At 55.1% G+C, this 25,733-nt stretch overlaps 1 protein-coding gene across 53 annotated transcripts in view, besides 5 other annotated features; it reads right to left on the minus strand.

Moving 5' to 3' along the window:
• Positions 1 to 5,832: 5,832 nt before the first annotated feature.
• ARHGAP27 (Rho GTPase activating protein 27) overlaps positions 5,833 to 25,733 on the minus strand; it is a 38,963-nt gene continuing 19,062 nt past the window's right edge. For 4 of the 53 annotated variants that reach the window (NM_001385384.1, XM_047435544.1, XM_047435545.1 and 1 more), the window contains 15 exons: positions 17,601 to 18,008; positions 16,849 to 17,031; positions 16,526 to 16,606; positions 16,370 to 16,453; positions 15,954 to 16,021; positions 15,544 to 15,634; positions 14,639 to 14,743; positions 9,874 to 9,972; positions 8,841 to 8,949; positions 8,593 to 8,715; positions 8,412 to 8,510; positions 8,132 to 8,209; positions 7,908 to 8,042; positions 7,669 to 7,774; positions 5,833 to 7,558 (listed from right to left, as the gene is read on the minus strand). In NM_001385384.1, the coding sequence (NP_001372313.1) occupies positions 7,381 to 7,558; positions 7,669 to 7,774; positions 7,908 to 8,042; positions 8,132 to 8,209; positions 8,412 to 8,510; positions 8,593 to 8,715; positions 8,841 to 8,949; positions 9,874 to 9,972; positions 14,639 to 14,743; positions 15,544 to 15,634; positions 15,954 to 16,021; positions 16,370 to 16,453; positions 16,526 to 16,606; positions 16,849 to 17,031; positions 17,601 to 18,008 (1,947 nt within the window). In that variant the 3' untranslated portion in view covers positions 5,833 to 7,380. Of the gene's footprint in view, positions 7,559 to 7,668; positions 7,775 to 7,890; positions 8,043 to 8,131; positions 8,210 to 8,411; positions 8,511 to 8,592; positions 8,716 to 8,840; positions 9,374 to 9,873; positions 9,973 to 13,270; positions 13,594 to 14,638; positions 14,744 to 15,543; positions 15,635 to 15,953; positions 16,022 to 16,193; positions 16,260 to 16,369; positions 16,454 to 16,525; positions 16,607 to 16,848; positions 17,032 to 17,189; positions 17,278 to 17,515; positions 18,009 to 20,159; positions 21,689 to 22,156; positions 22,312 to 25,733 lie in introns of those variants that run through there. The other 49 variants (NM_001282290.2, XM_047435543.1, NM_199282.3 and 46 more) reach the window with 43 other exon arrangements.
• Positions 6,386 to 7,045: an enhancer, noted in NCBI's record as "H3K4me1 hESC enhancer chr17:43471827-43472486 (GRCh37/hg19 assembly coordinates)". NCBI's record gives its function as "activates a minimal SCP1, AML or CMV promoter by ChIP-STARR-seq in primed H9 embryonic stem cells {active_cell/tissue: H9 hESC(primed)}" and the evidence as "EXISTENCE:reporter gene assay evidence [ECO:0000049][PMID:30033119]".
• Positions 7,677 to 7,834: a silencer, noted in NCBI's record as "fragment chr17:43473118-43473275 (GRCh37/hg19 assembly coordinates)". NCBI's record gives its function as "represses an EF-1alpha promoter that drives an FKBP-Casp9 reporter gene in an ReSE screen in HepG2 liver carcinoma cells {active_cell/tissue: HepG2}" and the evidence as "EXISTENCE:reporter gene assay evidence [ECO:0000049][PMID:32094911]".
• Positions 23,551 to 24,051: an enhancer, noted in NCBI's record as "H3K4me1 hESC enhancer chr17:43488992-43489492 (GRCh37/hg19 assembly coordinates)". NCBI's record gives its function as "activates a minimal SCP1, AML or CMV promoter by ChIP-STARR-seq in naive H9 embryonic stem cells {active_cell/tissue: H9 hESC(naive)}" and the evidence as "EXISTENCE:reporter gene assay evidence [ECO:0000049][PMID:30033119]".
• Positions 23,551 to 24,081: a biological region, named in NCBI's record as "H3K4me1 hESC enhancer GRCh37_chr17:43488992-43489492".
• Positions 23,894 to 24,081: a silencer, noted in NCBI's record as "fragment chr17:43489335-43489522 (GRCh37/hg19 assembly coordinates)". NCBI's record gives its function as "represses an EF-1alpha promoter that drives an FKBP-Casp9 reporter gene in an ReSE screen in K562 erythroleukemia cells {active_cell/tissue: K562}" and the evidence as "EXISTENCE:reporter gene assay evidence [ECO:0000049][PMID:32094911]".

Genomic DNA, 25,733 nt, shown 5'->3' on the forward strand with positions numbered 1-25,733 from the left:
CCTGCTGCTATTGCATCCCCATTCTCCAGGTGAAAAAACTGGGGCACAAAGGAATGAGTCAGTTATCCAGAAGCATCTGGCAAGGGCAATGTGGAGCTCACATTTGAATCCAGGGAGCCTGACTCCAGAGCCCATGCTCTGAGCCACTGCCTCACACTGGTTCACGAGAGAAGGCAGGCCATGCTGAAGCTTGGTCTTTTCCTTAGATGAGAGGAAAGGTTTTTAGGCAGGGTGATAACTTAATCAGACATGTGTTTTGAAATGAGGCTGGATGCAGTGGGGGCAATGAGGACGCGGGATGGGGAAGGGGGCTGGGAGCTGCTGCAGGGTCCAGGCCGGAGATATTAACCCCTTAGACCAGGAAGGGGCCCTAGTGATGGAGAGGGGTGGATCAGACAGGAAGGACTAACAGATACAGATCGGGCATGGAGGCAGGAGAGACAGATGAGATGGAGGGAGCAGGCCACATTCCCAGGTTTCTGGCTCACCTGACTCGGGGGATGATGGACCCTTTGCCTGGGACAGGTAAAACCCTGGAGGAGTACAAGGTTTGGGGAAAATCACAAATCCAGTCTTGGGCTGAGGACCGTCCCAGAGCAGATGTCAGGTTGTCAGAGGACACCAGGATTGGGAGCTTAGAGAGCAGTCAGGCCAGGCACTATGGATCAGTGAGTCACTGATGCTGTGGGTGTAGCCAGTCTCATCCAGGGAGGGAGGACAGCAGAGGAGGGGTGGACCCCAAGGACTCTGCTTGTACTGGCTGTGCAGCAGAGAATGAGACACATGGCCCGAGGTGGGAGGAAAATGAGGGGAATCTGCAAGCCAAGAGAAAGGGAACATTTCCAAGAATGGGGTGGTCAGCAGAGGATAGGGTGCCACTAAAAAGGCAATTAATACACAGACCCCCAAATATCCAGCAGCTATCAATGGGAAATCATCAGTGAGTTTAGGGGAAGAAACTCAGTGGTGTGATGTGGGCGGGGGGTGGGGTTGAGAAGCGAACAAGAGAAGCGGATGGATACCGTGAGTTTAGATGACTTCTGAGAAGTTTGGCTGCAAAGGGGAGGAGGAGGAGGATGGTGGCAGCTGCAGAGAGACGTGGGGTTGTAGGGGGTTTCAGAGAGAGGCACTTCAGCGTGTTCCCGTGGCAAGGGGAAGTGGCCAGTATGATGCAGTGGATACCATGGGTGCTGCTCAGATGCCCTCTTCCAGCACTGAGCGATGATTTCCCAAAGGACAGGGAGGGTCAGCAGCCAATAGCACTCATCTGAGCCTCTCTCCAGGATGTGTCCTGGGCTGAAGAGAGCTGCTCTGCCCAAATCCATGCCCTCCCTTCTCCCACCTTACAAGGCAGCCCATATCCAGTGGCCTGGCCCCCTGGCCATAATGGGACACAAGACTGAGGCTGTCCCAGCTCCAGGGCTTCCCATGGGGTGGCTGAGGCCTTAGAAGGGGCTGTGCCCCAGCTCAGCTTCTCCCTCAGCCACTCCTGCTGGCTCCACCCCTCAGGCATTGGTCCCGAGATCACGCCCAGCAAGCCCCCTGCCAACGTCTCTGTTTCCTGGGACATTCAACCTGAGACAGCAGCTAAATAGCAAGAAGAGGGGCCAGTGATCATGGATATTTCCTGAAAAAACAGATGAGCTGTACCCTGGAGAAATGTCTGCTCTGAGGTACCGAGGAAAGGAGGCCAGTGAGGCCGTGGTGAGGGAGGGCTGAGCTTTGTGATGGGATGTTAAGTGTGTCCACCATTCCGGGAGGTGGAGGTGGGTCACCTGTTGAGAGAGGGAAGGCTGGGAGGGCCAGGGGTTGGAGGGAATGAAGACCCAAAACAATTGTTGCAGAAGGCGAGAGGGAACAGAAACCCTCAAACATAGCTGGTGGGAGATTGTGCAGCTATAGAAAACAATTTGATGGTTCCTCAAAAGGTTAAAGGTAGAGTTACCTTTTATTCCAGCAATTTAATCCAGCAAACTCCTGGAAAATAATTAATAAAACATGAGTCATAGACTGAGTGTTTGTGCCTCCCACCCCATTAATATGTTGAAGCCCTAACCCTCAATGTGATGGCATCGAGGTGGGGCCTTTGGCAGGTGATTAGGTTCATGTGAGACCATAAAGGTGAGATTAGTGTCCTTGTAATAAATGGAAGTGACTGGAGCTCGCTCTCTTTGTGCCACTTAAGGACATAGTGAGAAGGTGGCTGTCCGCAAGCTGGGAAGAGAGCCCTTATCAGAACCTGACTGTACCGGCCCCTTACTCGAACTTCCAGCCTCCAAAACTGTGAGAAATAAATCTTCTGTTGTTTTAGCCACCCAGTCTATGGTATTTTGTTATGGTAGCCCTAGCTGACCGAAATGATATGTCCACAGAAAAACTTGTACGTGAGTGTTCATGGCAGCATTATTCATATTAGCCAAAAAGTGGAAAAAACCCGGCTGGGTGCAGTGGCTCACATCTGTAATCCCAGCACTTTGGAAGGCCAAGGCAGGTGGATCACGGAGTCAGGAGTTCAAGACCAGCCTGGCCAAGATGGTGAAACCCCATCGATACTAAAAATACAAAAAAAAAAAAAAAATTAGTCGGGTGTGGTGGCGGGCGCCTGTAATCCCAGCTACTCGGGAGGCTGAGGCAGATAATTGCTTGAACCTGGTAGGTGGAGGTTGCAGTGAGCCAAGATCATGCCTCTGCACTTCAGCCTGGGAGACAGAGTGAGACTCTGTCTCAGGAAAAAAAAAAAAAAAAAAAGTGGAAACAACCCAAATGTCCATCAATTGACACATGGATAAACAAAATGTGATGTATCCATACAATGGAACGTTATTTGACAATAAAAAAGAATGAGGGCCAGGTGTGGTGGCTCACGCCTCTAATCTCAGCACTTTGAGAGGCAGAGGCCGGAGGATTGTTTGCGCTCAGCAGTCCGGGACCAGCCTGGGCAACATGGTAAGACCTTGTCTCTACAAACAATACAAAAGTTAAGTGTGGTGGTACACGCCTATAGTCCCAGCTACTTGGGAGGCTGAGATGGAAAGATTGCTTGAGCTTGGGAGGTGGAGGTTGCAGTGAACTAAGATTGCACCACTGCACTCCAGCCTGGGTGACAGAGTGAGACTCTGTCTCAAAAATAAATAAATAAATACAATAAATACAATAAAAAGGAATGAGGTAATGATGCAGGCTATGACCTGGATAAAACTTGCAAACTTCTGTGAGCCCACAGCCCAGTGGGAAGGCCTGGCCACGGAAGCACAATCATATCCAGTGAGCTAAGTGTGATGAGAGAGACACACGCATGAGATCTGAGGAGGGTGTAGGGGGCAGGTGTGAGCTGAGGCTTGGGGGAGGAGGAGGAGGAACTGGCCAGGGGAAAGGGAAGGAGGCAGGAAGACTGTTGGCCCAAAAGTATCGAGGCAAGAAGCAACCTGGAGTGTCCCGGGGCAGCGTGGGCACAGCTGGTATGCATAGGTGGGAGGGGTGGCTGCTGGGTGGAGGATTAAATGGGGAGGAGAGCACCCATTCAGAGGCTGCTGTGATCACCCAGATGAGGGAGACTGATGGAGGATGGGACATATTTAGGAGTAGAAGATTGGGACTCTGGGGACTGGGGCTGCCATGCTCAGAGACAGGGAGCAGGGGTGGTTTGAGCTTTGTTGCAGATGGGTTGCACTTTGGGTGTCTGGCAGCCATCCACATGGAAGTGTCTCCTGAGCAGGTAGATTTTGCACATGACTCGCGAGAGAGCACTCCAAGCTGGTGCTAGAGATTTGGGTGACACCAGTGCAGGCTTGGTGGCTGAGTCTGCAGGGTGGAATGGATGACGGATGGTGGAAGGGAGAGAGAAGCGGGCCAAGGGCACAATCTGGGAGTGGGGGCATCACCATGTATAGGGCAAGCAGAGCACACAGGGAGCTGAGAAGGGAGGGGTGGAGTGGTAGAGAAGACTCATGTAAGCCAGGCACAGTGACTCATACTGTAATCTCAGTGCCTTGGGAGGCTGAGGCAGGAGGATCACTGGAGGCCAGGAGTTTGAGACCAGCCTGAGTAACACAGTGAGATCCCATCTCTACAAAAAGTCAGGCATGGTGGTGTGTGCCTGTGGTTCCAGCTGCTTGAGAGGCTGAGGCAAGAGGATGGTTTGAGCCTGGGAGGTTGGGGCTGCAGTGAGCTATGATCGCACCACTGCACTCCAGCCTGGGCAACAGAGTGAGACCTTGTCTCAAACAAAAAAAAAAAAAAAAGAAAGAAAAAGAAAAAGGAAACCCCATGTTGCTGCAGGCAAAGGAACAGACAGTCCATGTCTCAAGAAGGACAACAGACAGTCCATGTGTTTACTTGCACAGGATTGGGCACGTCCCCAGACTTAGCAACCAAGTGGGCACCATGGCCTTTCTGAGAGTAGCTTCAGGGGCAGACTATAGGCTGCAGGAGGACTTAAGGGCATCTGCTGAGAGGCAGTGGGCTTGGGGAGAGATCCCCGTGGCAGCCCTTATCAGCTGTGCCACTGTCGCTCCTTTTTATAGCTCTCCCCATCCAGACGGAGCTTCAAGAGGGAAGACACCACTTCTACATTCTTTGTGTTTCAGAACAATCCAATTCATTCCAAACCTATTCGATGCACACCTACAGTGCTCACCATGCATGTGCTCAGGGCTGGGGACGTATGACTGAGCCTCGGACTTCTGGTGAGGGGCACGGTAGGTCCCTAGACTGTGCAAATGAAGCTCTGGGCCAGGTTCTGCCACCAACCTGCCATGTGGCTGCAGGTGATTTATGATGTTCTCTCTAGAGGTTTCCTCATTGGTGGTAGGTGATTTCTGAAGCTCCCCTTCATGACAAAAATGTGATAATTCTAGGACCTCTCTGCCTGCTGCTGTATTATTTGCCCACTGAGGCCTTGGCAGGGTCAGAAGCCTGGGGTGGTGAAGGAGATGGTGAGCGGACACCTTTCCAAGATCTCCCTGCCTTTCAGCTCCTTGTCTTGGGGACCCAATGTCCTTGGCCTTAAGGCCCCACATGCTCTGTCCCTTACAGCTCTCCAGCCTCACCTCATACCCATGCTCCCTGGTTTTCTGGGCTCCAGTTACAATGGTCTTCTCTCAGATTTTGTTCTCCCCACAAGCTTTCCTGCCCCAGAGCCTTTACACATGCCACTCCCACTGACTAGCACCCTTCCCTTAACCCCTCTGCTCGACTCCTCTTCATTCTTTACTGCTTCTCTCAAATGTGGCTTCTGCAGAAGCATCTCAGGTCCCTGGGCAACATTCACACCCCATGACACACCTTCCGAGCACTCTACACTTCTGCTAGCTCTTGTACAAATGTGATAACCAAGTAATTATCTGCTTACTGTCTATCTAGTTTCACCCTTGGACTCAAATGAGAGGGGTCCCTGCCATGGGTCCTCTTGCAGGAGAAGGCTCCTGTGTCTGTGGCTCTCCCCACAGGGTGAGGAATCTGGGGAGCCCTCTTGAAGCCTGGACCTGCCCTTTAGAACATGCTTCTGATACATGGGGCCCCAGCATGCCCCGCCCAAATAGCTCCAAGCCCATTCCCTCAAGGGTGGACTACGTCACCAGTGGGGTAGCCAAGCGGCAGCTGGCTGCAGGGGGTATGGGCAGTTGGCACACATGGACTACGATGTCCACATATGTGCCCGTGAGCCTCTGCTTGGGGGAGGAGGGCTCTGTGGGAGGGAAGATGAGAGGGAAGGCTGAGCCCAGGGCCTGCCCTTCTCCGGCCACCACATTTGGGCATGGAACTTGGAAAAGTCAAAGAAGTTTAAATTAGAACCTGGCCTTCCAGGTCATTATCAAGACACATTTGTCAAAGTAGGAGAATAGAACATATTTTATTTAACAGTTGTTAGCTTGATTGATAACTTTTAAATATTTAGACATATGGTATGAGGCCCCTGTGTGTACTCTTGCCCTGGCCCTGTTGGCAATGGGGTGGGCTTGGGTCAGCCTCACCCATCAGACCACAAGCTCCACCAGGGCAGGCAGCCCATGCAGTGCCCCTGCCCAGAGCACAGCACCTGGCACAGAGGAGCAGACAATAAATACCGGCTGTGAGAAACAAATGGGATAATCCAAGCCGAATGCTTGGCATGGTGCAAATGTCCAATAAATATCAGCTGTCATTGTCTGTTGAATAAATGAACAGGTGGGTTGGTGGGGCTGGGGGCCAAGAGCCACAAGCTGAGGTGGCTTGTGTCTGAGGAGGGAAGGGACCCGCTGTTCCCTGGGGTTCACGCTTCCTTTCTTGAGGTTGTGTCCTCCTTCCCCACACCCTGCAGGCCTGCCCAGCTCTTCGTGGCAAAGCGGGCCCCAGATGGGTGTACTTGTGTGTCAGAGTGCCAAGAGGGGCTGGGAGCTCCTGCTAGGGCTATGTCCCCCTCCCCTAGGACAGAACAGCTGGGACAGTTTCCCTCTTTGCCTTCAGGGGCCTCCCCAGGTCCAGACAGAACACACCCAGCTTAGTTCCTTTCTTTTCACATAGGCCCAAAGGTTGGATGGGTGGTAGCTGAAAGAACTGATTTTCCCCCTACCCAGGCTGTACTCTGGTGTGGGAGGAGCCTTTTCTGGGGAATGAGGTCACTCACTGGACCTTGAGCAAGTCACACTGCTGCTGCAGGCCTCAGCGTCCTTGTCTGTAAAATGGGATGGTGTGTGGAACTGGTGCATGCCGAGCGGCAGATGCAAGGTGTGCACTTGGTGAATGGGAAGAAGCCTTGCACAGAACACCAGTGGGTCAAGGACAGCAGAGGCCCGGGACCCCCAACAGGAAAGCAGATGAAACTGGCCCACAGCCAGCCTGTGAGAGGCTCAGGCAGGAGGTCATCCCTGAGGCCTGAGGAGGATAGCTTCAGCAGCCCACACTGAAGGCTGGGTCAGTCCTGTTTCCACAGTGGGGAAGTGATCAGAGCTGCCTCATGACTGGCACAGTGCCAGCACAGGGCCAGGGCCCACAGGGTCTCTGTGAAGGCCTCCACGAGGTGAGGGCCAGAAGCAGCCAGGAAGCCCTCCATCAAACTCCTCCTCCCAGCACCTACCATTCCAGAAAACAAACTCTCACCCCCACACACGCTATCGCACACGCACAGTAGGCGCGATGCAACAGAGAAAAAACCGAATTAACCCCCAAACAGGACGTGACGGGAAGGGAAGGGGGGATGGGGAGTTGGGAAGAAGGAATCACATTTTGCAAACTGCCCACTAGGGGTCACCGTACCCTCAGAACCGAGGGTGCAGAAGTCACACCGGCCTGCGGCTATGCGCTGGCGGAGGGTCCCAGAGAGAAGAAGGCCCGGCTGCGTGGCCTCCGCCGCCCAGCTTGTGTGGCAGGACCGCGGCCGCCGCCCCAGTCACAGGCCAGCAGTCAGTGCGGCGGGAAGATGTCCGCGCACTGCTGCAGGATGAGCTCCACCACCTGGTTCTGGAACACCATGGTCATGGGCATGCTGGTCTCTTCCACCTCGGGCCGCAGCAGCGTGGGCCCGAACACAATGGCCACGCTCTGCACCGACATGCGGTTCTGCTCGCCGTGCTCGATCACCCTGTGGCAGGGGTGGGTGGGTTCAGGGCTCCGAACTGCGAACTGCGGGGAGGCGCTGGGGGCTTCAGCCGGGACCTGCCTCCCCCTTCCCGCGCGGGCCGCCCGGCTCACCGGCAGAGGTGCTGGAAGAGCATCCGCAGAGTGTCGTGGTTGGGAGCGGGCAGCGAGCGCACCAAGTCACGCACACAGCGGCTGCGCCGGGCCTGGTCCTGCAACTCTGGGTGAGGGAAGGTTTAGAGGGAGGGAGTCGGAACGGGAGGTAGGGGGTATCGGCTGGGCGAGGGGAGCCTGCTAAAGGGGTGCCCCGCCACGCCCCTACCCCATCCGCCCCACCTGCCCCAGGTGCTCACTGATGGCCGCAATGAACTGGCGGAAGTGCGAGAAGGGGAAGAGGGGCTCGGGCAGCTCCCGAAAGAAGAGCTTCAGGGCTCCGGTGATAACGTGGACGTCCTCCCAGCGCCCGTCATCCAGGTCAAGGCGCTCATCTGTGGCGGAGGAAGGGAGGAGGACGGAAGGGAAATCAGTACCCCTTGCGCCTTCAGGCCCTGGGGCAGGGGTTGGGGACGGGCCTCACCGTGGTCCACCTTATAGCGTAGCTTCTGGATGGTGGCCAGGTTTCCACTGATGCGGTACAGCCCGTCGATGTCCAGCCCTGGGCCAGAGGGAGGCGCTGATCCCGGGTTCAGGGATGGGGATAGGGTGGGGCTACGGGTCCCTGCTATGACTCCCACTCGGGGCCTCCCGTACTTTCCCCCTGGACCCTGCGTCCATCCAGGGGTCTCCAGCCTGCGGTCCTGGCAGGAGGCCTGCGGGCACCCCAATGCCTGCCGCCCTCACCCCCGCAGCGCACGTACCGCGGGCCTCGACGGCGCGGATGCACTGCTGCACGAAGCGTGGCACCCGGCTCCTCTCGCGCTCACACAGCGCGGCCAGCGCGCAGCCGAACACCTGGTCTAGGGCAGAGGCTCATCAGCTCCTGCCCAGCCTGCGCCCCGTCCCGGTCCCGGGTCCCCGCCCCCCGCAGGCCTCGGGTACCTTTGATGTAGCCCTTCTCCCGCAGCGACTGCAGTGTGGGCCGCCTCTGGAGGAACTTGCGGAGCTTGTGCCGGACCTTGCTCAAGTCGCTCTCCAGGCCCACGGGGCCCAGGGCGGGCGCGGCTGCCGCGGGGAAAGGCAGGACTGAGTCAGGAGGCAGCGCCAGGGCAGGCCAGGCAGGCCCCAGCAACCGTCACTCCCCAGGAGAGGCCTCCTGGAGCCCCCACCCCATCCTGCCTTGCGCACACCTGCATTCGGTCGCGCGTCCTCCTCTTTCTCCTGCCAGCTTCCCAAGCGCTCGCTCGACCCGAAGTCCACTCTGCTGCTCTCGCTCTCCTCTGGGGGCAGCTCTGCGGACTGGATTCCCATAGCCTCAGAGAGGCGGGGCCTTGAGCCAGCTGCGGGTCCTTCCAGGATGGGGCAAGGGACCCGAAATGCACTCCCAACAGGCATGGCCTGGAGACCCTCAGCGAAGAGTCCTCTCTTCCCTTAACCAGGTTAACTCTCCTTACCTCCACCAGTGAGCCTGAGAACATTCACCTCCCTTAGCTGCATGGAGCCCTTAAGGTGCAGAGACAGTCATCCTGTTCTCCCACACCCCTTCCTATCCTGGGGACTCCTACCCACCTGGTGCCTTCTTTCTCTATTTTCCTCAGCTCCTCTAACTGGGTCAGCATTCCTCAATACGTGGCTCCCAGTTCTGAGCCTGCACCTCCAGCTGTGGCCGGAGCACTGCCAACAACTGCACCAATATCACCTCTCTGGCTCTGGATTCCTACCTCTATTAATACAGCCAAAAGCTTCACTCAATGTTGGCTCATAGGGAATTAAGGGTCAAAAAGCCCCAGGTCATTTCCAGGTCAGTAGTTGTCAGAGGGCCCCTGTCCTAGCTCTACTTATGCAATTGGTGTTTTCAGCCTTAAAAAAATGGTCGACTATTGAAATCAATCCTTTAAAATTTTATCTGCTAGTTTCAGCCTGCCATTGGTTGGCTTGCAGAGTATTTATTTGGCCTTCTGCCTCCCGTGAAATGGGAACTTCCTTTAGAATGTGCCCTACCCTCACCTGGAGAGTCTTCCTGCAGGGCCAACCCCAGGGCTGGATTCACAGACTTACAGAAGGCAGTTTCTTCAGCCGCCTACCCTGCCATCCTAGCCATTAGTGGGGACTGCATTTGCATTACCCACTGGTACCTTAGAGCTCCCTGAGCCTGAGCAGAGGGCCCCACTCATAATGGCCACCCCCTCCCCACTGCCCCTAGAGGCCCTGGGCTCTGCTTACCAGCTCCTGGATGCCCTGAGCAATGGCCTTATGCCAGGTGCTGATGATGGCCTCCGAGTCGTGCTGGATCAGGTACTCAGAGCCATCTCGGCTCCGTAGCTGGAGGGACACAAGTCAGTGGGTCATCTCTGGTACCCTGGGTCTGCCCTGGGGGTTGGCCCTAGTTGGGGGTAGGTACAGAGATAGAGGTGACCTGTCCCTGCCCCCAGGCACTCAGAGCTTAATGGAGCAAGGGCCTCACCCCAGGCTAAGTCTTGGATCTCTGCCTCACGTAAAGCAGTGGCTGACAGCATCTCTGTGTTACAGATGAGCAAACTGAGGCTCAGCAAGTTTTAGCTGCTTCCTCATGGGCACACAGCTAGTGAGTGATGAGCACAGAGCTGCATGGCTCAATTGTCTGGTACACTTTCCCTCCCCCATCCTGCCTCCCTGCAAGCCACAGAACATGGCAGGCCTCATGCAGAGCACTGGCCTGCAAACTAAGTGAAAGAAACTTCCTATGTGAGGCCAGGCACGATGGCTCATACCTGTAATCCCAGCACTTTGGGAGGCCGAGGCGGGCAGATCATGAGGTCAGGAGTTTGAGACCAGCCTGGCCAACATGGTGAAACCCCGTCTCTACTAAAAATACAAAAATTAGCCAGGCATGGTGGCGGGCTCCTGTAATCCCAGCTACTTGGGAAGCTGAGGCAGAAGAACTGCTTGAACCCGGGAAGCGGAGGTTACCGTGAGCCGAGATCATGCCACTGCACTTCACCCTGGGCGACAGAGCAAGACTCCGTCTCAAAAAAAAAAAAACAAAACAAAACCCAGAAACTTCCTATGTTGAGACCCCTGTCTACTAGAAGCAACAGTGAATATAGGGAGAGAGGATTTGAAAGCTGATCATGGCTGATCCCAGGGAAAGAAAGGTCTCCCCTTGCCCCTCCCCATACACACACTGAGGACTCAGAAACGTTGTCCCACCTTCTGCAGCCAGGAGTCCCCACCACCTCCCACACTCCAGCCTGGGCAACACATCTTCTGTTAGCCCGCTTCATCATGAAGCATAAATTAAACAGAACACCAGAGGGAAACTTGCCACCATAGGACTGACGCTCAAAGCCCTTTCTGAGTTGGATGGCAGCTTAGTTGGATTCCTTATCAGCCTCTGGCTCTGAGGACCCAGTGTTCCAGGTTAATGTGAATGTTTGGCGGCAACAGCTCACACCAACCCTGCCCTTTTGGTTCAGCGAGAGTCAGAGACAACAGAAACTGTCTCAGACCCCAGGACACAACTTCTAGAATTGGATTGGACTATCTTTGCTGTCCTTTTAAACTTATACTTGAAGACTATTTAAACTGCTTTTTAAAATGAAATGAGGCTGGGCGCAGTGGCTCATGCCTGTAATCCCAGCACTTTGGGAGGCTGAGGCGGGTGGATCATGAGGTCAGGAGATGGAGACCATTCTGGCTAACACAGTGAAACCCTGCCACTACTAAAAATGCAAAAAATTAGCTGGGCCTGGTGGCACGCACCTGTAGTCCCAGCTACTCGGGAGGCTGAGGCAGGAGAATCGCTTGAACCCGGGAGGCAGAGATTGCAGTGAGCCGAGATCGCACCACTGCACTCCAGCCAGGGCAACAGAGCAACACTCTGTCTCAAAGAAAAGAAAAGAAAAGAAAAGAAAAGAAAATGGCATATCTCATCCCCTAGCCCTCCCCTGCAAAGGACAGAGAACCTTCAAGAGGCAGATAACACAGCCTCACTCTAATCAAAGCAGACAAGAGCCCTGCTCAAGATTATCCCAGAGAATGGCTTGACAACACTTCTAAAACAACAGCCATGATTTTTGGCAGCTCTCTCAAAACATAATCAGTTCATATTTGCAAGTTTCATATAGAGGGCAAAGCTGTATCATTACATAGCAATGTATTTCACAAAATATTCACCCCCAGCCAGGCACAACGGCTCATGCCCATAATCCTAGTGCTTTGGAAGGGCAAGGTGGGAGGAGTCCTTGAGACCAGGAGTTCAATCCTGGGCAATATAGTGAGACCCTATATCTAGAAAAATTTTTACAAATTAGCCAGACATGCTAGTGTGCACCTGTACTTCCAGCTACTGGGGAGGCTGAAGTGACAGCATCACTTCAGTCCAGGAGTTGGAAGCTGCAGTGAGCTACGATCAAGCCACTGCACTCCAGCCTGGGCAACACAGTAAGACCCTATCTCTAAGAACAAACAAATAAACAAAACATTTATCCTGCTGACCGCACAGGCAAATGCTAGCAGCTTTTGGCGGACTGTTGCTGAAGTTTTCTGTAACTCGGGGTGACTAGAAAGACCTGCTGTGAAAATTTCCTGGGCCCAACAAAGCCATCCATCCTCAATGATATAAAATTTGGGGCTGTCTCTTGAGGAAAACCCTGGAGCTGCCTACAGGCCGCCCTGCATGGAGGGAGGATGGCCAGCAGTCAACCAGGAGGCAGGGGCTTGTGATTTCCATTCAGGCCTGCCCACCTTCCCACTGGCCTGAGCAGCACCTGCCTTCCAGTCCTTGCCAGCAAAGACAACTCAAAAAGCCCTATTCTGAAACTTTCATCAAAAGTCCATCAGTGATGATCTTCATTGAGAACTGTTTGAAGGATATACCTATCCCTCAAAGTCAGGGGAGAAACATGACTAGCACAGGTGATGTCTCAGACCGGGCATGGTGGCTCACACCTGTAATCCCAGCACTTTGGGAGGCCAAGGCAGGTAAATCACCTGAGGCCAGTAGATTGAGACCATCCTGGCCAACATGGTAAAACCCTGTCTTTACTAAATACAAAAAAATTAGCCGGGTATGGTGGCAGGCGCCTGTAGTCCCAGCTACTCGGGACGCTGAGGCAGGAGACTCACTTGAATCCGAGAGGCAGAGGTTGCAGTGAGCCAAGATTGCACCACTGCACTTCAGCCTGGGCAACAGAGTGAGACTCTGGATAATAATCATAATCATAATCATAATCATAATCATAATAGTGATGTCTCTCCTCAATTTAACACCATAGCAGATATTGTTAGTTGATCACAGAACTCTATCCTGCCAAGCCCAGAGAAGCCTTCAGAATTCTTCTCAAGAAGGCTCCAGGCTAGGCACAGTGGCTCACACCTGTAATCTCAACCCTTTGGGAGGCCAAGGCTGGAGGATCACTTGAGGCCATGAGTTTGAGACCTGCCTGGGCAACATAGTGAGCCCCCATCTCTATAAAAACTAAAATTAGCCAGATGTGATGGAACGCGCCTGTAGTCCTAGCTACTCGGAAGCCTTAGGTGGGAAGATCGCTTGAGCCCAGGGGCTTGTGGTTTCAGTGAGCTCTGACCGTGCCACTGCACTTCAGCCTGGGCAACAGAGCAAGACCTTGTCTCTAAAAACAGAAACAAAAAATAAAAACAAAAACAAAACCCCACAAGACTCCAGACCTACTCATCAGAGTAGCTCATGAGATGAAACCAGTTTTCCAACTTTGCTTTATAGATATCCTGGCTCTAGAACTGAATGGAGCTTGGTGAATAATCAGGAAACTACACTCTCAGGTTCCTTGCAGAACTGTTTTTTCTGAGCTTAGACATGAGGTCATGCTCTTGGCCTTCATCATAATGATGCTACCTGAAGCAGTCCCGGATCCTGAATTAAACCTTCCTGGAGCTGTTTTGCAGGGTACCTGGCATGTGCTTCTAGATCCCATGTTCATGGAGCTACATACAAGAAATTTAAGAGTGAAGGGTTAGGAAAAAGCTTTGATTCCCTCAACATCTGGGTGGGTTTTATTATTTGTTCAACAACAAAGAGACATGCACCTGATAGCCCTTCTCTTTTCACCTCACCTAGCAGGAAAGTCGGAGCTAAATTTTCTTCAGTAACCACCACCTTAGCACCCATACATCATCTGCCCCCTAATTCCTCTCCATCTTGAGTCCCATCTCTTACTTGTTTTTCATGGTCCTGGCTTTTCAGTTAATTTGACAGTTCACCACGTGTGTTTCTGTTGTGATCTGCCTCAAACCTTCTAGGTACTGAGGTCAGGGTAAGAGTAGTTTAAAAACAAGACAACACATGGACAGTGAAGGGTGTGGCATTGGGAGTACCCTTTCTGGGTCTTCTCTCCCTTCCTGCGGGGGTAGCATGGTAGTCTTCTCCACTGCCCCAGTTTATTCACTGGGGATGCGGTCCAGTCGGAAATGGGGCTCTGGCTCAGGGGCAGGGAAAGGGACCTGGGGAGAAAGAGGTTTCCCAACCAGGCCTGTCACAGTAAGCAGCCAGGGACAGGGAGCCTCCTGTCTCTCTCAGGCTGGGACGAGGGCTGCCATTCTAGTCATGAGAATTTCCTCTCCCAGAGGCCCTACTCCTCACCACCCTCCAGGGCAAGGATTATTATTAACTCAGCTCCTGGAGAGGGAACTGCAGAATATGTGATGTTAGAAACAAAGGACAGGTCCCCTGGGGCGGGGGTGCAGCGTTGGCCTTGAGCCCTGAGAATGGTAGCCCCAATTCTTCCCAGGTCCTCCTTCTTGGGGCTTGCCTACAGTAAGGGTCCCACAGCACTGCCAACAACTGCACCAATATCACCTCTCTGGCTCTGGGTTCCTACCTCTATTAATACAGCCAAAAGCTGCACTCAGTGTTGGCTCATAGGGAATTAAGGGTCAAAAACCCCCAGGTCATTTCCAGGTCAATAGTTGTCAGAGAGCTGGCAGGCATCACTAAGCCCCTTCCCTCCTTCTCCCCAACCCCGCCACTCACCTCCAGCACATTCTTCCTACTGGATTTGTCTTTGGGGGCCCAGGAGAGAGTGGCCCCCCTCAGCTCCACTGTGTACTCAGGGGTGGAAAACTTGGAAGGCTGCCTCTGTGGGAGAGGGAGGAAGGTCACAGGGAGCCCTCAGTTCAGATGTGTCTGCTGTGGCACTCTGACCCTAGGAATAGGATGGGGTCACTGGCATGGCCAGGAAACAACTCTGGGGAAAAGTGCCCCAAGTGTTCCTGAACCCAGAGACCCTGATGCTTCTTAACCATGGAGCCTGCTGGCTGGCATGTCCACTGCTGCCCACCCACCCAGGGGAGGACAGGAAAGGAGTGCAGTCTGCATCCCTGCAAGCAGGTGTGCCCACCCCCAGCCTCCCTGCCCTCCAGGCTGGAGCTGGCCACCCTCAAGACTGTTCCCCATCTCCAGTGGGCTAAAACTACTTGTCTTGGAGTGAATCTGCCAGTATCACCCCCTTCCTGCCAAGGCCCAGCTCCTCTGACACTCATGGACCACTCTCTCAGACCTGGTCATCTCCAAGCCAGATTAGATAGAGCAGATGGGGGCTGGGCACAGTGGCTCACGCCTGTAATCTCAGCACTTGAGGAGGTCGAGGTGGGCGGATCACCTGAGGTCAAGAGTCCAAGACCAGTCTGGCCAACATAGTAAAACCCTATCTCTACTAAAAACACAAAAATTAGCCGCACATGGTGGCACATGCCTGTAGTCCTAGCTACTCGAGAGGCTGAGGCAGGAGCACTCAGGAGGGAGAGGTTGCAGTGAGCCGAGATTACACCACTACACTCCAGCCTGGGTGACAGAGCGAGACTCCGTCTCAAAAAAAATAAAAATAAAAATAAAAAAAAGCAGATGGGATGGTCCCTGCCCTGAGGGCCTGGCCTTACCAGGCCGCCTGCAGCCGAGGTCTTTGAGTCCTTGAAGAATGTCAGGACGCCACCCTCCAGCACAGTCCAGGAGGCACTCCAGTGCTTCTTCCTAGGTGGGGGTGGGGAAGTGGGGGTGGCAGGACTTAGATTTGGTCCTGGGCTGAGGGCCCCTCCTACCCCAGGAACAAGTCAGAGCTTAGGAACACAGGCTAGGGCACCCCATTATGAGGGCTGGAATCCCGACTCTAACACCTAGCAGCCGAGGGACCTTGAGCAAGTCACTTTATCTCACAGTGTCTCAGGGTCCACAGAGGACCACTCACGAAGTTGTTGTGAGGATTAATAAGAGCCTGGCATACAGGAAGTGCTCAGTGAACATCGTCACCAAGGCCCACCCTGCCCCGGCCTGAGTGTAGATGGGCTCTCACCGGAGCCGCTTTCCCTTGTCTGCCGTCTTGGTGCGATGGAGCACCCCTGCCTTGTCCAAGGTCTTGGTCTAAGAGAGAGAAGAGAGAGCAGGCGCAAGAGTGTGTAGTTAAGGGGTGAGCTATGGGGAGTAGAGGCTGGTCACCTGCTCAGCTGCCACTCTCTATGGTCTGGGCCCGTGTCTCCACTGAACCCTCCTCGCCAGCACCACCACCTGGCTGGGGGTAGGGGGTGATGCCTACCCTCACAGCAGCTGTGGCAGGAGAGACTTCCTCCCAGCTCCCAACCTCATCCAGCTCTGCTGGGACCTATGGGGGAAGACAGATAGATCCCACCAAGTCCCTCCTCCCAGGAACTCCAGAAGCCCCCCACTGCTTCTGTGGTGGTCCTGCCAGGACCTCAATGGCTCCTCCCCTACCTTCTCCTCTGGAGGGCTGGCCTGGGCTGGGGTGTCACCATCCTGGCTGGATTTATGGATGCTTCGAGGGGCAGGGACAGGGACCTGGGGAGAAAGACACAGTCGTATATGATCTCTTCCTCTCTCCCCAACACCCCCCTTTCCCCAGGTTGTTACCTGGGGCAGCTCCCATCGAACAGAGGAGTCCTCTGGATTGTAGAAGTATGGCTTCCCGTGGGGGTCCTCCAGCCTCACCCACTGTGGGGAGAGGAATGGTCAGGGCCTCCAGCCCAGCTTATGAGAGGGGAGGAAAAGTTTCCCTCTAACCAGGTTCCAAGACAGCACCAGGGAGTCTGGAGGGGCAGGTGCAGGTGACTGTGTTTGGCTGGTTTAGGCTCTGTGTGGGAGCTGCGGTTTAGAGCACTGAGGCGACCTATTAGTGAGGAAGGTTGTGGGGAGGACTCTGAGGCTGTCCGGGTCCATCTGCCCCCTGCCCCTACCTGCTCCTGAGTGAAGTGGTTGGTGTAGAGCATCTGCTTGTCCTGGCTGACATGACAAGACCAGCCGGGGGGTGTGGTCAAGGGAGAGGTAGGGCCGGGCTCACCGAAAGAGCCCACGGGAGAATAGTCCTCCTCGGGGTAACTGGTCAGCGACTCGGGGTAGTCCGTCTCGGGAGTGGGGGGCTGCGGGGAACAGAAGGTGGAGTCAGAGGCTCTGAGTGCCAGTACTGCCTGCTGGCCCTGCCGTTTTGGACCAGGCCCACCCCCTTGCCTTCTGGTCCCTGAGGCTGTGGGAGCAGGAGGCGGGGTCAGAAGCGCTCAGAGGTAGCTCCGCACCTCACCCTCTGGTCCCTGGGGCTGTGGGAGCAGAAGGCGTCAGAGGTAGCCCCGCCCACTCCAGCCCTGCCCCTCACCTTCTGGTCCCTGGGTCTGCAGAAACAGGAGGCGGGGTCAGAAGCGCTTAGAGGTAGCCCCACCCATCCTGCCCCACCCCTCACCCTCTGGTCCTTAGGTCTGTGGGAGCAGGAGGTGGGGTCAAAGGCGCTCAGAGGTAGCCCCGCCCACTCCAGCCCCGCCCTTCACCCTGGGGTCCCTGGGTCTGTGGGAGCAGGAGAAGGGGTCAAAGGCTCTCAGAGGTAGCCCCGCCCACCCATCACCACCCCCTCACCCGTGTGTCCCTGGGCCTCTGGGAGCAGGAGGCGGGATCAGAGGCGCTCAGAGGTAGAACCGCCCACTCTGGCCCTGCCCCTCACCCGCGGGTCCCCTGGGCTGCCAGGGCTCAGGCCCGGCTGCATCTCCAACTCCTCCTCGGGCTCGTTCTCGGCCTCGTCCTCCCAGGCCGTCTCGCCCGTCAGCGGGTTGTAGAAGAACACCCTGCGGCTCTCCTCATCCCAGTACTGGCCCCACTCGGTCTCAAGGCTCACGTGGCTGTCCACCGAGGCAGGGGAGGTGGCTGGGCTGGCGGCACCCTCGGCAGCCTCAAAGGGCGACTCCCAGGTGGTAACTCCCGTGTCTGGGTTGTAGTAGTAGGGGCGCCCGGTGCCCGCGTCCGTGTGCGTCTCCCACACCGGGCTGGGAAGGGGGGCTGCAGCGGCGCCCGGTGAAGTGGCCCGGGGCTGCCTCTCTATGTTCGCGTACACGGGCTCCGGTGGGTCGTCCACCTGCGGGAGGAGAAAGGAGGAATTTTGTGTTTTCAGAAACCTTCCAAAATGGTAACAGAGGTCCCCTCTGGGCAGTGCGATTATAGGGGTTTATTTGTTTTCGCTTTATTTTCTTTAAACTTTTCTGCAGCCTCAAAATTTTGTACAACAAAGCATTTTAAAAATCACGTAAGTTCTTCTGCTCACTGTGACACCATCACTAAGCCGTAAACTCCTTGAAAGGGGAAGTGCCTGTTAGAAGTGGCCTCTTCTTGAGCTTTAGCCCCTTGGGCGACCTTCAGGAAGTCACACTACCTCTCTGCCTCAGTTTCCTGGGTGTAAAATGTCTGCTCTGTCCATTCCGGAAACTGTAGTGAAGAGTGAATGAGGAAATGCTCTTGAAAGTACTTTGTAAAGTATTTAGTGCCCCAGACGGGTGGGTCAATTACATTAATTATATTTATCAATAATAATAAAACATCGATAACCCAGTTCTCACAACTGTGCACTCACAGAGGCAAGTCAGAGGTTGGGCAGGAACTGAGAAGTGGTCTGGGGCGTGCCCCTGTTTATGGTGCCCATTCAGGGCCCTGCTGCATTCTTTTTTTTGAGATGGGGTCTAGCTCTGTCACCCAGGCTGGAGTGCAGTGGCGCAATCTTGGCTCACTGCAACCACCACCTCCTGGATTCAAGCTGCATTCTTACAGCTCCACTGAGAGCTCCCACCCCACCCCACTCTCAGCCCAGAAAGCTCTGGGATTGGAATCAGCACCCTGTCTGGATTTGGGGACTGAACTTTCCAAGGTGAAGTTTGCAGGTGTCAGAACCAATTCCAGACAAGAGAGGGAGACAGGACAGCCAGATGGGCTGGAGAATGGAGGGGCAAAGAGAGGTGAATTGTTTTACTCCACCCCAAAGGAGAGTGAGGGCAGCTGGGGGTTCAATCACATAGAACATAAACCTAGCCATGCGTAAGCCTCCCGGAACAGAGGCTCTCCTGATTCACACCTCAGAGCTCCCTGCTGGCTGCAGGGCAAAGTCTAAGCCCTTAACCAGGCACAAGAGACCGTCCCTCACCGGCCTGTGCTTCCACTATTATTTCCTGCCACTCCTTGCCCCTTGCCTTGAACTTTAAGCTCCAGTAGCACCAGTTGCTAGAGGTCCCCACCGTCCCTGCTGTGTTTCCTCCAGGCCTAGGCTCATCTGCAGCCTGCCCAGGCCCATCTCCACCCCTTTTTTTGCCTGGCTGACTCCAATTCCTTCTTCAGGATTCAGCTGAGGTGCCAGGTTCCAGCCTTTTCCTGAGATTCCCCCCATCCCCGTGCCCCCACATTCAGCCCAGCACCCTTGGCCCCACAGAGGGACAGATGACTACATTCTCAAACCCCAGGCAGCAGCATGGCATACGGAGATTACTACTATTTTCTTTTCTTTTCTTTTTCTTTTTCTTTTTTTTCTTTTTTTTTTTTTGAGATGGAGTCTCGCTCTGTCGTCCAGACTGGAGTGGAATGGTGTGATCTCGGCTCACTGCAACCTCCGCCTCCTGGGTTCAAGCGATTCTCATGCCTCAGCCTCCCAAGTAGCTGGCATTGCAGGCACGCACCACCACGCCTGGCTAATTTTTGTATTTTAGTAGAGATGGGGTTTTGCCCTGTTGGCCAGGCTGGTCTTGAACTCCTGACCTCAGGTGATCCGCCCACCAGGGCCTCCCAAAGTGCTGGGATTACAGGTGTGAGCCACCGCACCTGGCCAATTACTACTATTTTCTAAGCATACACAATACTTCAGGGGAAAGCAGATTTCCACATTTCAATTTTGTGTTTTCGGAAACTTTCCAAAATGCTAACAGAGGTCCCTTCTGAGCACTGTGATTATAGGGGTTTGTTTTTGTTTTGTTTTCTTTGAACTTTCCTGCAGCCTCAAAATTTTGTACTACAAAACTTTTAAAAATTCACAGAAGTTCCTCTGCTGACTGTGACACCATCACTAAGCTGTAAACTCCTCGAAAGAGGAAGCACCTGTTCAGGGTGGTCTCTCCCTGAGCCTTAGGCAGATGCCAAAAAAAAAAAAAAATTCATTTTTCACCAAACTGATGCCAAAAAAGCAAACCAAACCAAAACAATGAAAAGAAGAAGGAAAAGAAGAACATTTGTTTACCCAACAAAGATTCACCTGCTCTGTGCCAGGCACTGTTTGAGGCACGGGGAATACAGCAGGGAAGAAAGGGACACAAATCCTTCCCTGGCAGAGCTGGCACTCAAGTGCACCTGTGTGTAAATGGTGGGGGTGATGAGTAAATGGACAGCATGTCAGTGCTGATCACTGCTAAGCAAGAAATGAAAACACTGTCAATGAAGAGGATGTTACAGTTTTAGACAGGGTGCCAGTCCCCAGGCGCCTGGGGGACAGGGAGAGCTGGGGATCCCAGCCCATCAGTTCTTCTCTCCTCTCCCCTTCCTCCAGGCTGCTGTGTGGCTGAGAGGGGACCCTCCACCCCACTTGTCCTTTCTCTACCCCCACCATAGCTCTGATGTGGCATCCTGTAGTCCAACCACAACAGGCCTCTCACCGGCCCCCAACAGAAAAGGCATCCTCCCACCTCGAAGCGTTTGCTCCAGCCATTCCCTCAGCCTGGAATTCCCTTCTCTGGTTCTCTGCCTACCCAAATCCTGCTCTCTCACGGTGCTCAGCTGACAAGCCTCTCCAGGGAGAGGTCAAACCTGCTGGCACTCTGCTCACTGCTCTGTTGAGGCCCAATGGCGTTCTGCCTTGGTGGGCAGCCAGTTGTCCAACCATCTGCCCACCTCCTCTGCCCCAAAAGGCAGGATTTTCTTGAGAGCAAGACTAAGGATAATGTAGCTGATTCCATTTGCCCCCCAGCAGCTGGGCCAATGCCCTGAAGCACATAGCAGGTCTGCCACAAACTGCTTGTGTACACAAGTCTAACCCATGCCCAGTTTCAGCAACAAACATGCCTGACATGACAGAAGAGCCTGGAATGAGCTTGAGCTTTCTGAGGAGGAGGGTCGGAGCCACAGAAACCAGGAGATTCCTGGGGAGGGCAGGATGGAAGCAGCGGGGAGAGGAAGGCAGAGGAACCAGACACACCTCCCATCCTCCCAGCTGAACGCACTGGGGCAGGAGTTGAAAGGCTCCACCAGGGGTGGATGAGCTGATAAGGAACAGGCTCTTTGGAGCAGGAATTTCTACTTGGCAGGCTGTGGGCCATGGCTCTGGGTCCACGAGGAGTCCCAGGCCAGTGAGGCTGATGGGGTCCTCACACGAAGGAATGTCCCCAGCAGGTACAGAGGAGATTTCGGAGGTAGAAGTTTAGGTCCCCAGCATGACAGGGCTGTCACAAGGAAGAGAAGATGGGGTATCATGCTGCAGGGGCACAGCAGCATTCCTCTGAAGGAAGCATTCTGAGGACTAGGGCTGCCAGAGACACAGGCTGCTTCTGGAGGTAGTGAGGGGCCCTCACTGGAGGTGACTGAGCAGAGTCTACTCCCTGTTAGGGAAGCCATAGCCCTGTGGTGGGTGTTGAACTGCAGTGTCCTTCAGGCCCCTTCAAACTCTGGAACTCTCGGCAGACCCTGCACAGTGCTGAGATAGAGATGCTCTCCTCTCCTGGCAGAGCCTCAGCTGGGTTCTAACCAGCTCCTGGGGCCAGGTGCAGTCACGCCCTCCACATCCTCTGGCCTTCAAGGAGTTACAGGCGCCTGCCACCCCTACCCTCCTCCTTGCTCCTGTTCATGGAGGCCCAGACAAGACCCAGATGCAGCTCATAAGCAGGGGCCTGACTACGGGATCAATGGCTCTTGGGTCGCATCCTAGAGACAAGAAGTGGCCTTCCGACCTCAGGCCAGAGGAGGAGCCAAGAGGGACCTGGCTCTCAGGCTCCAGGCTGCCCAGCCCCCTGGTACTGCCTTACAGTGGTTCACCCCTTATCTCCAGTTCCCTCCCCTGTCCACAAGCAGGTGGCAGCCCTGCCACTCTTGCCCCAAGCTGACCACCTCTTGGATGGGCAGGGCCTCCGAGAAGGAAAGAGAAAAGGAAGTATGAGCCCCAACTTCCAAGAGGCTCCCTGCTCTAAGCCCCAGCTCACCCAGCTCCTAACAGGGCTTGTGGTAGAGGCCCACCGGGCACCCCTTGACCCCAGCATCCCCTACCTGTGCCGGCAAGGCTCGACTCTGCCTCCTGGTCACTTTGGCGATTATGTCCACCATCCTGGCCCCTCTGAACTGCCGGGACAGAGCCCTGGGAAGGTTTTGGGGGTAGAGCCCAGGGGCACTACCCCAGTGCTGGCACAGGGCAACAGGGAAACAAGAAGTTGCCGAGATGGCGGGAGGCTGAGACTCCAGCCCATTTCCTGTCAGGGCTGCGGAAGTGCTGCCTGAGTTGGGGCGGGTGGGGTGGAGGGGCCTCAGGTTGAGGGTATTTTTATGCTTCTAGAAACACTGCTGGCTGCCCCACTCAGTGCTCTAATGACCAGTGAGCCGCATCCGAGGCCCAGACATAGCCATGGTGTGGGCTGCACAGAGGAAGATCACGGCCAGACCCAGCCACAGCATGAACTGCACAGAGAGAATCACGGCTGAGCCTGTGGGGGAGGGGCGCGCTTGCACAGACAGGGTGGGCAGAGGGGGCGCTGAGTGCTGGGGGCCTGGGCTGGCCTGGAGTGGCTCCTGGGGCGGAAACAGGACAATGAGTGGTTGTCCACTCCCTCTAGGCCCAGGGAGGGTGTAATGGGAAAGAGGAAGCTTGTGGGGGGGAGGGGAAGAGTTCCCAAAGAGGAAGGGGTCTGGGCAGATGTGATATCACAGGGAGCTGGCATCTGGACTGTGCCAGCCCCGAGGAGGACAGGAAGGATTCTGACCACATCACTATCTGCCCGCCTGACCACCTGGGTCTGTCTCCTCCAGACTCGGTCACCAAGATGCATATGCCCTCCCACGCCTGCATGCCCACATGTGCCCACTCTCACTTGCGTGTCCACATACGTGTACAAGTATGCCCGTGCCTGTCCCCTCCTCTCTAAGGACCCAGAGAAGAGGGCCAGGCACCAGCTTCTTCCAGGAGGAAGGTTAAATCTTCTTCCTGGCCTCTCTTCCCTTCACCCCCTCGTGTGGGGATGACAGACCCCAGCCACGCACAGTGGACACATGCCCTGAGTAAGAAGTTACAGCCCCTCCTCTGAGCCCATGGGTCCATCTTGTCTTCCCTCCTCCCTTAGAAGTGCTTCCTCCCCAGGCTTAAGGGCCAGGCAGCACTAAGCCCACCAGCCCACCCCTGCTGAAGTCCACCTCCTTTCCTGGTCAGGCTCTGACCCCCACCCTTCCACTCTAGGCCCATTCTTCCTCCTCTGGCCCCCACCCTGGATCTCTTTTTCTCCCCTGCCATGTCTCTCAGCCCCTCTTCTCCTGTACCCACTGTGGGCTGGGGACAAGGACCCCAAGCAGAGCCAGGCACAGTGTGAATGTGGGGCACGAGACACTTGTAGAGATCACACTAGGAGCAAGACTGGGCCCCATGCCCTGCTCTGCCCACAAAAGCTCTCATACCAGTGTCCCATCCCCTGTACCCGACTCAGAAGCCCAGACCCCAGGGGTAGACTAATCCCCTCCTCGCTATCAGGGTGGAGGACAGCAGGAATCACAGAAGGCTGGAGGCCTCATGCTTATCACACACCTGACCCATCTCTCTGTCCCCACCCTGAGGCCAGGGATGAGGACTCACACACACACACACACACACACACTACACACGTGTGCGTGCATATGACAGGTCACCAAGGGTTATGCAACCAGGCCTCAGAGACAGGAATAGCCTCTGTAAATTCCAGAGAGGCCAGAAACTCTGAGCCACCAGGGAGGAGCTGGGTGGAGAGGGGAGAGAAGAGGACAGGTGTGGAACTCAGGCCCTCAGCATTGCCCTGCAGGTAGCATGGGGGGCAGGGACTCCCTATGGCAGAGCCAGGAGTGTCAGTGTCAGGGCTGGGACTGCAGAATGGGCAGCCAGCAACTCACCTGGCATCTCACCTGCTTCTCTTCCCCAGTAGGAAGCTGGGCCCCCATGATGGGGGTCTCCCAGGGGGCTCCAGCCCCAAACTATAGGGAGTGAACAAACTCACACAGTTCCTGCCTGCTCTTGGCCACAGAAGTTGGCTCTCAGGCCCTGTCTCGGATTCCCTCCCCCCAGTGAGAGGAGGTGATGACCACAGTGGCTCCCCAGAGGGGTCCACCTCCCTCCACCACACCCTCATGCCTCTGAGAGGCACAAGGGGGAGGGTCAGGAGAGGTTCTAGAACAAACCAGCTGCACAACACCCCTCCTTTCCCCACTCTGACCTCACTCTTCCCTCCCAAACCCTCATAGGAAGTGCTGGGGCAGGAGCAGGTGCACTAGGAAGACCCAGTCCTCTGGGGCTAGAGGCAAAATGAACGCCTCCAAACCAGGACTTGGCCCAGGAACTGGCTCAGGGGCTGGCGAGGGGACATGGTGTCCTTTGTTGACTCAGTGAGTCTGCTCTGTGCCACCCAAGCCAGGTGGAGGGAGAGCCAGAAGGAATGGTGATCTTTGCCTCAAGGAGCTCAGTCATGTCCACACGACAGGTCCCTCCCCCAAACACATGTTCTCCAGGACAGAAACTGGGTCTCCCTTTAACCATCCCGGCCTGGCCCAGAGCTACATGTCCAGGGGCAGGATCGGAGGAGCTGGGGGTGACCCCACAGGATCCTGGGCCTCAGGCCTCAGTAGGCTTTGGGGAACTGTGCCTAGCTCAGCCCTCTGAGATTCTGATGGAAGTGGTTTGGGCCGGGACCTGGGGAAAGTGTTTAATTTTAAGCCTCCTTGGGTGATTTGACTGTGCCTCCCAGGTGTGGCACCACGGCTCAGTATAATCTTTTTTTTTTTTTTTTTTTTTTTTTTTTTTTTTTTTTAATGGAGTCTCACTCTGTCACCCAGGCTGGGGTGCAGTGGCTCGATCTCAGCTCACTGCAACCTCTGCCTCCCAGGCTCAAGTGATTCTCCTGCCTCAGCTTCCTGAGTAGCTAGGATTACAGGTGCCTGCCACCATGCCCAGCTAATTTTTGTACTTTTAGTAGAGATGGGGTTTCATCGTGTTGGCCAGGCTGGTCTCAAACTCCTCACCTCAAGTGATCCGCCGCCTTGGTCTCCCAAAATGCTGGGATTACAGGCATGAGCAGCCCGGCTGACTCAGTGTAATCTTATTGCATGGATGTGGGGTGAGATTCCAAATGTAACGGTTTCAGGTGAGACCCTTTTCTTGGGCTTGGGGCAGAAGCTTCCATTGATTCAGAGGGAAAAAGAGTGGAGCCGGAGACCAGAGACTTGGACTCTTGTCTAGACTCTACTTCAGCTTCTCGCTGAGCAGCTGCTTGAATTTCTGGGCCTCAGTTTCTTCATGTGTAGAACAGAGCTGTCAACCCTACTCCGTCACAGGGCTGGTTCTATGAAAGAACTGAGCGGGCCTTGGGTTCCCACACCCATGGGGATTGGGGGAAAGCAGGCCTGCACTTCTGCTTTTCTGACTTCGGGTTTCGATTGGGTGCCCTCGGCTCTGGACTCTGTCCCCAGCCTCTGGGTGACCTCATGGGGCTGCTTGCCTGGCCTGCTCCTCCAGGGCGGGGTGGGAGCTGGGGTGGGGCATCCTCAGGGCTCACAACGCTTGTGCTCTAAGTAAGGCTGGCAGACACCCAGCAGGGCTGCTGGGGCCAGGAGGGATCAG

Source organism: Homo sapiens, chromosome 17, assembly GCF_000001405.40.
Source record: "Homo sapiens chromosome 17, GRCh38.p14 Primary Assembly".
Taxonomy (NCBI): Eukaryota; Metazoa; Chordata; class Mammalia; order Primates; family Hominidae; genus Homo; species Homo sapiens.